This window comes from Homo sapiens, chromosome 2 (assembly GCF_000001405.40).
Source record: "Homo sapiens chromosome 2, GRCh38.p14 Primary Assembly".
NCBI classification, from domain to species: Eukaryota; Metazoa; Chordata; class Mammalia; order Primates; family Hominidae; genus Homo; species Homo sapiens.
In genome coordinates, this window is record NC_000002.12 from 110,176,486 (window position 1) to 110,189,393 (window position 12,908).

Below are 12,908 nucleotides of genomic sequence, written 5' to 3' on the forward strand. Positions count from 1 at the left end.
TGCTTTTTTGCATTTCTGATTTTTTTTATACTGGTTGCTGTGATGGACACATTACATGACTCACTTACAGACTTTGGATTATGTTATATTCCTCTAAGAAATTTTAAATTATTTTAATGTTACACAGTTAAATTATCTTGTTCCTGATAAGGTCTGCTTTTAGGCTCTTTTAGAGAAGACCTACCTCAGCTTTGTCTTTATTCCTAGATCATGGTTGTTACTCTCAGGGTGTTTTCTTTACTCCTAGGGCCTGGGCCTTCTGTGTCCTCTACTAAATGCCTGAAACATTTCCCAAGTCTCTTTACTAGAACTAGGTACAAACTCCAGTGTTTTTCCAGGACTATATGATTACCAGAATCCATTAAGCTCTTAGTCTCCCAGCAGGTACTTTCTGCCAGGCCTTGCAGGCATCATGCCCTATACAGCCCAGGAGACCTTTCAGATTGCTGGAGTTGTTTCTGTGCAGCTCCCTTCTCTCTATGGCACCTTGCTCCACAACTCTCAGTGAACTGAGCAGCTCCAAAGTGTGATCTCTGTCTCCTCAGTCGAGTAAGACTACTATTCCCTGCTTGGAATCTACCTTCCTCCACCACAGCTCATAAATTATTCCCAGGGAAAAGGTCTAGGTGAATGTAGGATTTGCTTCATGTGTCTCCCTATATCAAGAATATCAACCCTGCTTGGTAGATGCTCAGTGGCTTCAAACAGATGCTTTGTATATTTTGTCCAGACTTTATAGTCATTTATGGTGGGAAGGTTAGTCCAATACCAACTACTCTGCCATTCTCAGTACTAAGAATCGGTGGAAATTCTAGATCCTTGCATCTACCACCTTCAGCATTTTTTCCCAGGATACAGTATAAAGGTTGGAGAACAACACTGAAATAGTCTGAATAACTGATTTTTTTCTTTTGCTTCCCACAAATTGGGTTTGTTCGTACAGGTTGGGTATCCCTAATCAGAAAATCCAAAATCCGAAATACTCCTAAATCTGAAACTTTTGGAGCATCAAAATAACACTCCAAGGAAATGCTCATTGGAGTCTTTCAAAATGTAGATTTCCAGATTAGGGATGCTCAACAAGTAAGTACAATGCAAATATTCCAAAATCCAAAACAATCCAAAACTGAAGATACTTCTGATCCCAAGCATTTCAGATAAGGAATACTCAACTTGTATATGTAAGTCTTCTTTACAACTTTCAGAAGCTATTATTAACATACACTCTGGCAGACAAACAATGCATGTCCCTACTTCAATTTTTTTTTTTTTTAATAGAGACAGTGTCTCACTCCGTTGCCCAGGCTGTGCACTGAGGTGATTATAGCTCACTGCAGCCTGGAACTTCTGGGCTCAAGCAATCCTCCTTGCCTCAGCCTCCCAAGTAGCTGGGACTACAGGTACGTGCCACCAAGCCTGACTAGTTTGGGTTTTTTTGTAGAGATGGGGTCCACTGTATTGCCCAGGCTGGTCTTGAACTCCTGGCCTCAAGTGATCCTCCTGCCTCAGCCTTCCAAAATGCTGGGATTACAGGTATGAGTCACCACACTCAGTCTTTGCTTCAAATTTTTAAAGAATGTTTATGAAAGGGAGAACAATGCAAGTAGACATTCCAAATCATTTCCCTTTTACACATCAACATTGACATTAAATATATCATCTTTATTTTCTAACATTTGTTCATTTAGCTTTTCAGATCTCTGTTTTGTTTCAACTAAATTATAAATTGCCTGAGGGCAGAGACTATGACTTACACTTCTTTCCATCTCTCATGGGATCTAACACCTTCTATTATACACAATAAATAAATGTTGACTGATTCTATTGTTAGTGTCATTTGTTTATATCTATACTGCTATATGTCTTTGAGTTAAACATTAAAGCTATTGGTGATATATCTTTAAAAAAGAAAAAAGAAAGGTAGAAAGGAAGCATACTCAGTTATATTTTCTCTGCTTATTGTCACAGCAAGGCCCTGCAGTTGTTGGGTAAGCTTGTCCAAAAGAGTATGCTCCTCTTCTTTTCTCTGATTATAGTTTGCAACAGGTGCAGATTCATCAGCCTATGAGAGAATATAGGTCTATTTCACTAAAAAATTAATTTCAGTTTCCTAATTTCAAAAGAACAACAAAAAATTCCAATAAGTGCTATATAACAAAGTAAATATCAGTGTGACATTACACCTATCTTAGGGAAATAAATTAGATTTAAAAGAAACAGGCAATTGTGTTGGAATGCAAACCAAATGAAAAAATAAAATTATACCACTTGTTTTAGGTTTCTCTTTTATTTTCTTGCTAAGTATTATAGACCTTCCATAGTCAGTAAGAGATATGTTCTGACAGAAGATCGGCTTTAAAGTCAATGAGACAGGCACCAATCCCAAGTTCTGCCACTTATTGACAGAAGAGGCATGGATGCTTCACCACTGAGAGCTTCAATTTCCTCACCTGTGAAACAGAAATAATTAGGTTTTCAAACAGTCTAAGTTGAAAAGTTTTGTGTCACTGGAGAAATTTGGAGGAGCTCTTCAGTGACCACATATCTCAGATGCAGTAAAGGGGAGTAATATACAGCTGGAGAGCTGACTTTCAGGTGCCTTCCACTTTAAAGACTCCATGAGTCTCTGGACCTGGACATCTAGCTGTAGCCAAGGCTCATGTGAAAAAAAAAAAAAAATCCTGAAGGGATTGTCAAGGTTAAATTCCTGTTCCTCTTGTTTCTGCAGAGACATTGATATCAGAGCTGCCATTTGATACAAGAAGCTTCTTTACCACTTACCCTCAGGGCCAGATTATGCATTATTTCCCCACAAAGAAATTAAAATAAAAATAATTCTAAACTGTAAAACAACTCACAAAATGCAAAAATAAAAATAGCTCCTTCCAGGATTGTCTGAATCCTTAATAGCAGGTGAGTTCATCAAAGCTGAACATTTTTCGGTAGTTGGAGCCCTGGATTTTGCTTTGCTCCCAAGCACAGACTTAGCAAGCCTGTTCGGCAAGCCAGCACTGGCTGCAGTTAGACTATATCACTAACGTAAACCCAGGAACTTACCAACTTGAATTAACTTCCACTTAATAAAAATACTTGTATAGGAAGAGATGTTTTAATAATGTGATTAACCTCAATACTTACTTTGCTTAATTTTTGAAGAGCATTTTTATTTTCATCTATTGCCTGCTTTAACTGGATACATCTAAATTAAGAAAAAAAAGAAAATATATTGATTTTTCTATTATCAGAACCAGAAAGCTATTTTATAAAATCATTCAGTCGTTGAGCAGGCAAGGCAATTAGCCACTGTATGAACAATACTAAAAAACTGACATATAAATGCTTTTCCACCTATTAGCTCAGATGATCCTCATAGCCAAGCTGTAAAACACATAGACATGATAACCAAGCCTCAGAAACCTTCAGTGTCTCTGGGCATCAGTTTCCTCTCTCTAAAATAAGGAAGAACGCTGGACTTTAAAATGCTTCTCCAGCTCTACAACTCCATAAACCTAGGAACTAGCCTCAGAGACAAAACTGATAATAGTACCTAAAGTTTACTGTGTGCCAACCATGTTAAGCAGTTTACAAACATTACCTCATTTAAGCCTCATAACAACCCTCACTCCACTTAAAGAAAGAGAAGTTCTACATAGCTTCTCAAGCTATGTGTACCAAGTCCACATAGCTGCTCAATGGTACAGCAACAATATGAAGGCAGTTTAGGATTCCACAGTTGGCCTATTCCCACCACAGCACACTCCTGCTTTGAGCTTGCTTGTCCAGACAGGTCCAGAGTTTTATTTATTCCACAGATGCCTCAATTCAGCATTAAGTCTTAGATACCCAAATGAGAAGTACAAAAAATGACCAAATATGAGCTATAGCTCATGATGAGATTTTTTTAATTCAAATGCTTTACTAAACAATAACCTACAAAAGTCACTTTTTTATGCCGTTTGAGTCTTTTTTTTTTTTTTTTTTTTTTTGCTTATAGATGTGAGTGAAATGAAATAAGCAGTGAAAAAGGGAATAACAACGTTGATCCAAGATGGCCAATTAGAAGCAGCTGTGGTCTATGGCACTCACTGAGAGGAATGAAGAAGGGCAAGTGAATTCAGCACTTTAAACTGAAATATCCAGGTTCTCACATTGAGACTGACAAGGCAAACACCTTGACCCATGAGAATGTAGAAAAGCCAGGGAACAAGGGGAACAAGAGCCAACCTGGGAGTGGCATGCAGCCAAAGGAACCCCCATCCCCAACCAAGAGAAGTGGTGAGTGACCATGCAACCCTGCCCAGAAAACCATGTTTCTCCCACGGATCTCTGCAACCCACAGATCAGGAGATCTCCTGAGTTCATGCCACCAGGGCCTTGGGTCCAATACACAGAACTGTGTGGTGTCTCAGCAGAGCAGCTGCTCAGGCACATACAGTGACCCAGGAATTTTATATACTCTGGCCCCAAGATCCCCAGCAAGGGGGGATATCCATCTGTATATATCCCTAGAAAGGGAGCTGAATCCAGGGAGCCAAGCAGCATTGTTCCGTGGGCCCCACTTCCATGGCCCCCACTTCCATGGCAACTCACAAGTTAAGACCCACTGGCTTGGAATTCCAGCCAGCCAACCAAAGCAGTCTGGAATCTTTCTGAGGCAGTTCCAAGTTACCGGGGCAGGGGTGGCTGCTATCTCTGGGGTTCAGTAGACTTAGCCATTCTAGCCTGCTGGCTTTGGAGAATACAAATGGTCCAGAAGAAAGAGTCCCCTCCTAATGTATCATATGTGCTCTACCAAAAAGCAGCCAGACTGCTTCTTTAAGTGGGTCTGTAATCCCATTCCACCTGACTGGGTGAGACCTCCCAAAAGGGGTTTCCAGCCACCTCCTACAAAGTGCGTTTGGGCTGGCAACAAATCAGTACTCTCCTGGGACAGAGCTTCCAGAGGAAGGAGCTGGCTGCCATATTTGCTGTTTTGCAGCCTTCACTGGTGATACTTCCAGGTATGGGAAAAACTGAGGCAATTAGGGTCTGGGGTACAGCAAACCACAGCAACACTACAGTAGAGTGTCCTGACTGTTAAAAGAAAAACAAACAGAAAACAACAACAACAACATCAACAATAAAAACTCAACAAAAATCCTATTTAAAGGTCAGCAACCTCAAAGATCAAAGGCAAATAAGCCCACAAAGATGAGAAATAATTGACACAAAATGCTGAAAACTCAAAAAGCCAGAGTGCCTCTTCTGCTCCAAATGACCACAACACCACTCCAGCAAGGGCACAGAAGTGGGATGATGCTGAGATGGCTGAACTTACAGAAGGAGGCTTCAGAAAGTGGGTAATAAAAAACTTTGTTGAGTTAAAGGAGTATGTTGAAACCCACTGCAAAGAAGCTAAGAATCATGATAAACCAATACAGGAGCTGATAGCCAGAACAGCCAATTAAGAGAGGAACATAACTGACCTGATAGAGGTGAAAAACACAAGAACTTTATAATGCAATCACAAGTATCAATAGCAGAATAGACAAGGCAGAGGAAAGAATCTCAGAGCTTGAAGATTATGTTTCTGAATTAAGACAGGCGGACAAGAATAGGGAAAAAAGAATGAAAATGAATGAACAAAACCTTAGAGAAATATGGGATTATGTATACAGACCAAACCCGTGACTTATTGGGGTACCTAAAAAAGACAGGAAAAATGGAACCACGTTGAAAAACATACTTTAGAATATCATACAGAAGAATTCCCCCAACCTAGCAAGACAAGCCAACATTCAAATTCAGGAAATCCAGAGAACCCCAGTAAGGTACTCCATGAGAAGATCAACCCCAACACACATAATCATGATTCTTCAAGGTCAAAATGAAAAAAAAAAAAGTTAAAGGCAGCCAGAGAGAAAGGCCAGCTCACCTACAAAAGGAAGCTCATCAGACTAACAGCATACCTCTCAGTGGAAACCCAAACCCTATAAGCCAGCAGAGACTGGGGACCAATATTCATCATTCTTAAAGAAAAGAAATTTCCAACCCAGAATTTCAAATCCGGCCAAACTAAGCTTCATACATGAAGGAGAAATAAGATCCTTTTCAGACCAAGCAAATGCTTAGGGAATTTGTCACCACCAGGCCTGCCCTGCAAGAGCTCCTGAAGGAAGGACTAAATACGGAAAGGAGAAATTGATACCACCCACTATAAAAACACACTGAAGTACACAGACCAGTGACACTATGAAGCAACCACATAAACAAATCTGCAAAATAACCAGCTAGAATAATGATGATAGGATCAAACTCACACAAAACAATACTAACCTTAAATGTAAGTGGGTTAAATGCCCCAATTAAAAAGACACAGAATGGCAAGCTGGATAAAGAGTCAAGATCCATCGGTATGCTGTCTTCAAGAGATCCACGTCATTTGCAAAGACACACATAGGTTCAAAATAAAGGGATGGAGGAAAATTTACCAAGCAAATGGAAAACAGAAAAAAGCAGGGGTTGCAATTCTAGCTTCTGACAAAACAGACTTTAAGCCAATAAAGATAAAAAAAAGACAAAGAAGGGCATTACACAATGGTAAAAGGTTCAATTCAACAAGAAGAGCTATCCTAAATACATATGCACCCAAAAAAAGAGCACCCATGTTGGGAAGAGACCCCGAAATCTGGCCATAAACTGGCCCCAAAACTGGCCATAAACAAAATCTCTGCAGCACTGTGACATGTTCATGATGGCCATGATGCCCATGGTGAAGGTTGTGGGTTTACCAGAATGAGGGAAAGGAACACCTGGCCCACCCAGGGCGGAAAACTGCTTAAAGGCATTCCTGAACCACAAACAATAGCATGAGCGATCTGTGCCTTAAGGACATGTTCCTGTTGCAGATAACTAGCCAGAACCTCCCCTTTATTTCGGCCCATCCCTTTATTTCCCGTAAGGAATACTTTTAGTAAATCTATAATCTATAGAAACAATACTTATCACTGGCTTGCTGTCAATAAATATGTGGGTAAATCTCTGTTCAATGCTCTCAGCTCTGAAAGCTGTGAGACCCCTGATTTCCCACTCCACACACTATATTTCTGTGTGTGTGTCTTTAATTCCTCTAGCGCCGCTGGGTTAGGGTCTCCATGACCGAGCTGGTCTCGGCAACCCAGATTCATACAGCAAGTTCTTATGATTTTCAAAGTGACTTGGACTCCCATACAATAATAGTGGGAGACTTTAATACCCCACTGACAATATTAGGCAGGTCATCCACACAGAAAATTGATAAAGATATTCAGGACCTGAACTCAGCTCTGGATCAAGTGAACCTAATAGATATCTACAGAACTCTCCACCCAAAAACAACAAAATATGCATTCTACTCATCACCACAAGGCACTTACTCTAAAATTGATCAAGTAATCGGAAATAAAATATTCCTCAGCAAATGAAAAAGAACTGAAATTATAACAAACAGACCAAAATGCAATCAAATTAGAACTCAAGATTAAGAAATTCATGAATGGCACTAGCGGCAGACCCAACTGGTAGTTCCTTCCCCAGGAGAGATTCCTCTGCCGTGGAGTCTTACGATACAATCACCAACCAGCCTGTCATGATCGACAATGAATCTGGTGTGATTAAAGCTGGTTTTGCTGGTGATCAGATCCACAAATACTGCTTTCCAAAGTATGTGGGCCTACCCATGCATATTCGTATCATGGCAGGAGCCCTTGAAGGTGACATCTTCATTGGCTTCAAAGCCAAGGAGCACCAAGGGCTGCTCTCAATCTGCTATCTCACGGAGCATGGCATTGTCAAGGACTGGAACGACATGGAACACATCTGGCAATATGTCTATTCTAAGGACCAGCTGCAGACTTTCTCAGAGGAGCATCTCGTGCTCCTCACTGAGGCACCTTTAAACCCACAAAGACACCAGGAATGAGCTGCCAACGTTTTCTTCAAGAGCTTCAATGTGCCTGCTATTTTCATCTCCATGTAAGCTGTGCTCAGCCTTTATGCCACAGGCAGGACCACGGGGGTGGTGCTGGATTCTGGGGATGGCATCACCCATGCTGTGCCCATCTATCAGGGCTTTGCCATGCCCCACTCCATCATGCGAATTGACATCGCAAGCTGGAACATCTCTCGCTTCCTGCACCTCTACCTGCATAAGGAGGGCTATGATTTCCACTCATCGTTTGAGATTTCCACTCATCCTTTGAGTTTGAGATTGTCAAGGCCATAAAAGAAAGACCCTCCTACCTATCCATAAACCCCCAGAAGGAAGAGACACTAGAGACAGAGAAGGCTCAGTACTACCTGCCTGATGGCAGCACCATTGAGATTGGTCCTTCCCAATTCCGGGCCCCTGAGCTGCTCTTCAGGCCAGACTTGATCAGGGAGGAGAGTGAAGGCATCCACAAGGTCCTGGTGTTCGCCATCCAGAAGTCAGACATGGACCTGCAGTTCACACTTTTCTCCAACATCGTCCTCTTGGGAGGCTCTACCTTGTTCAAAGGTTTTGGTGACAGGCTACTGAGTGAAGTGAAGATCAGGATATTTGCACCTCAGGAGAGACTGTATTCCACGTGGATTGAGGGCTCTATCCTTGCCTCCATGACACCTTTAAGAAGATGTGGGTCTCCAAGAAGGAATATGAGGAAGACGGTGCCTGATCTATCCACAGGAAAACCTTCTAATGTTGGGATATCATCTTCACCTCTCTCTGAAGTTAACTCCACTTTAAAACTCGCTTTGTTGAGTCAGAGTGTTTGTGAGGAATTGCCTGTGTGTGTGAGTGCATGTGTGTATACAAGTGTGTGAGCACATGCAAGTGCCATGTGGCCCAGGGACCCCAGGTCCAGAAAGGATGAGGAACTACCCACGATGGTGATGGCCTGAGGCCTGGGGGTGACCATTAACTGGCTCCTGACAGGGAAGAACACTGGCAGAGGCTGCACTCCCTCCTCAGGTGGGCCTCTGACTGGCTGCAGGGAACTCCGTTTACTACCACGGGGAGACAGAGGGAGATAAACCACCCCCTGGGAGACCTTGCTGCTGCCCATCCTAGGCTGGACTGGCCCCACCCTCACTCCCACCCACCAGGGTGCCCTGAGGACCCAGGCAGCTGCTGCCTCCCCTTGCTGGTCACTCCGCTATCAATGCCCCCTGACTGGGCACTGAGGACTGGGGCTGGGGTTGACCTCTGTCTGGTTTTGTTGCCATTTTGGTTTGGGAGGCTAGAAAAGCATCCCAAGAGCTAATACAGAGACTGGAAAGTCAGGAGGGAGCAGGAAGCCCTCATGTTCACCAGGGAACAGGACCACACCAGCCACTGGAGGAGGGCAGGAGTAGTACTCCCCCTGAATGGCTGCAGAGATAATGTTCCCAGCCCATTCCCCTTCCAGGGGCCTTGGGAGAGTTTAAGGTGCCTGCTGATTCCAGGTCCTTGCTTTCCATCCGTTCTTGTTGCAATGCCATCTTCAAACAGTTTTATTTATTGAAGTGTTTGTTCAGTAAGGGGATGGAGAGAGGGAGCTCACTGCCTCCTGCCCTGCCACACTAATGTTTATAGCACCTAAGCTTAGCCTAGCCTCCAGGGCCCCGCCTCTCCCTGCTGATGGTAAGCGGACAGTGTCCACAGGTTGCAGGACCATTTGAAATTGGTAGCTATACTCAAAGACACTCCCACCAGCCTCTTTCTCCCTCTTTCTCTTGCTCACTGCCATAGAATCAACAGGCTGGTTGCTGGTTAGATTTTCTGAAACAGGAGGTAGAATTTTTCTTTGGCAGAGGCCCCTAAACAAGGAAGGGGTGTTGGAGAGCCAGTGTCCTTAGGACTGGAGAAAGCTGCAATTAACCATGTTGCCTTTTGCCACTATAGCTGACCAGGCAACTAAGCTGTAGAGGTGGGATGGCCCCCTCTTGGCTGATCTTGGGCCACTCTTGACCTTGGACCTGCTTGGTTAAGGAGGGAGAGGGCCAGACCAGAGTGCCAGGAGCTAATGGAGCCAGGCCTGACTCCTAGGAGTAGTCCAAAGGCCTTTAGCCCAGGTGGTGCAAAGCTGGGGCCAGCCTGTCTTCACCGGCACCCTCACCTGTGACACCATGACCCACCCCAATCCCAGACTCCATGCAGTAGTCTCCCCCATGCTGTCCTATGACCAAAGGCCCCTGCCAGGTATGGGCCAAAGGAGCAGGTGTGTGTGAAAGCGATGTAGCACCCCACAGACTGCAGTGCACTTAACAACTCACCTCCCTTCTCTTAGCCCAAGCCTGTCCCTCGCACAGCCTTGCACAAACCACACTGCCTGATGGGGCTCAGTGTACTGAAATAAAGTCATTCTGATAGACACATTTAAAAAAAAGAAAGAAAGAAAGAAAGAAATCCAGTCAAAATCACACAACTACAAGGAAAATAACCACCTGTCCCTGAATGACTCAGGTAAATAATGAAATTAAAGCAGAAATCAAGAAGTTCTTTGAAACTAATGAGAACAAAGAGACAACGTATCAGAATCTCTGAAATGCAGCTAAAGCAGTGTTCAGAGGAAAATTTATATCACTAAATGCCCACATCAAAAAGCTAGAAAGATCTCAAGTTAACAACCTAACATCTCAACTAAAAGAACTAGAGAACCAAGAGCAAACAAACCCTAAAGCTAGCAGAAGACAAGAAATAACCAAGATCAGAGCTGAACTGAAGGAGATAGAGACATGAAAAACCCTACAAAGAACAAATTCAGGAGCTGGTTTTTTGAAAAAAATTAATAAAATAGATACACCACTAGCTAGACTAATAAAGAAAAGAGAGAAGAATCAAATAAACACAATCAGAAATTATAAGGGGGATATCACCACTGACCCCACAGAAATACAAACAATCAGCAGAGAATACTATAAACACCTCTATGCACATGAACTAGAAAATCTAGAAGAAATGGATGAGTTCTTGGACACATACACCCTCCCAAGACTGAACCAGGAAGAAATTGAATCCCTGAACAGATCAATAATGAGTTCTAAAATTGAGGCAGCTTTACCAAATAGCTTACCAACCAAAACACTCCCAGGACCAGATGAATTCACAGCTGAATTCTACCAAAGGTAAAAAGAAGAGTGGGAACCATTTCTACTGAAATTATTCCAAACAACTGAAAAGGAGGGACTCCTCCCTAACTGATTGTATCCAGCATCCTCCCGATACCAAAACCTGGGAGAGATACAGCAAAAACAGAAAACTTAAAGCCAATATCCTTCATGAACATCGATACAAAAATCCGCAACAAAATACTGGCAAACCGAATCCAGCAGCACATCAAAAAGCTTATCTACCATGATCAAGTTGGCTTCATCCCCAGGATGAAAGTTTGGTTCAACATATACAAATTAATAAATGTGATTCATCACATAAACAGAACTTAAGACAAAAAAAAATGACTATCTCAATAAATGCAGAAAAGGCTTTCAATAAAATTCAACATCTTTTCATGTTAAGAAATTTCAATAAACTAGATATTGAAGGAATATACCTCAAAATAATCAGAGCCATATATGACAAACCGACAGCCAATATCATACTGAATGGGCAAATGCTTGAAGCATTCCCTTTGAAAACAGGCACAAGACAAGGATGCCCTCCCTCATTGCTCCTATTCAATGCAGTGTTGGAAGTTCTGGCCTGGGAAGTCAGGCAAGAGAAAGAAATAAGGAGTATTCAAATAGGAAGAGAGGAACTCAAATTATCCCTGTTTGCAGATGACATGATCCTATATCTAGAAAACCCATTGTCTTGGCCCAGAAACTTCTTAAGCTGATAAGCAACCTCAGCAAAGTCTCAGGATACAAAATCAATGTGCAAAAATTGCTAGCATTCCTATATACCAACAACAGGCAGGCAGAGAGCTAAATCCTGAACTCACATTCACAACTGCTACAAAAAGAATAAAATACCTAGGAATACAGCTAACAAAGAAAGTGAGAGGGACCTTCTCAAGGATAACTACAAACACTGCTCCAGAAATCAGAGGTGACACAAAAAAATGGAGAAACATTCCATGCTTGTGGATAGGAAGAATCATATCGTGAAAATGGACATACTGCCCCAAATAATGTATAGATTCAATGCTATTCCCATCAAACTTCCATTGACATTCTTCACAGAATTAGAAAAAGCTATTTTAAAATTTATATGGAACAAAAGAAGAGCCCAAATAAGCAAAAAGAACAAAGCTGGAGGCATCACACCACCTAACTTCAAACTATATTACAAGGCTACAGTAACTAAAACAGCATGGTACTGGTAAAAGAACAGACACATAGGCCAATGGAACAGAATAGAGAACTCAGAAATAAGACTTGCACACCTACAACCATCTGATCTTTGACAAACCTGACAAAAACAAGCAATGCGGAAAGGGCCCCCTATTTAATAAATGATGCTGGAAGAGCTGGCTAGCTATACGCAGAAAATTGAAACTAGAACCCCTTCCATACACCATATACAAAAATTAATTCAAGATAGATTAAAGACTTAAATGTAAAACCCAAAACTATAAAAACTCTAGAAGAAAATCCAAGCAATAGCATTCAGGACATAGGCACAGGCAAATATTTCATGACAACAAAAAGCCAAAAGCAATTGCAACAAAAGCAAAACTTGACAAATAGGATCTCATCAAACTAAAGAACTTTTGCACAGCAAAAGAAACTATTGTGTCCAGAATTGGTGGGTTCTTGGTCTCACTGACTTCAAGAATGAAGCCGTGGACCCTCGCAGTGAGTGTTATAGTTCTTAAAGGCGGCGTGTCCAGAGTTTGTTCCTTCTGACGTTCGGATGTGTTTGGAGTTTCTTCCTTCTGGTGGGTTCGTGGTCTCGCTGGCTCAGGAGTGAAGCTGCAGACCTTCACGGT

The 12,908-nt window shown here is 42.2% G+C and overlaps 1 protein-coding gene and 1 pseudogene across 11 annotated transcripts in view; one reads left to right on the plus strand and one right to left on the minus strand.

Moving 5' to 3' along the window:
* The window catches only part of NPHP1 (nephrocystin 1), an 81,666-nt gene that overhangs the window by 53,138 nt on the left and 15,620 nt on the right, over window positions 1–12,908 (minus strand). For 10 of the 11 annotated variants that reach the window (NM_001374256.1, XM_005263677.2, NM_001128178.3 and 7 more), the window contains exons 3-4: window positions 3,139–3,199; window positions 1,938–2,062 (exon numbers count right to left, since the gene is read on the minus strand). The exons of the other annotated variant lie outside the window; for it this stretch is intronic. In NM_001374256.1, coding sequence (NP_001361185.1) covers window positions 1,938–2,062; window positions 3,139–3,199 — 186 coding nt within the window. The remainder of the gene's footprint in view (window positions 1–1,937; window positions 2,063–3,138; window positions 3,200–12,908) is intronic. 11 annotated transcript variants of the gene reach the window in all.
* ACTR1AP1 (ACTR1A pseudogene 1) lies at window positions 7,515–8,891 on the plus strand (annotated as a pseudogene).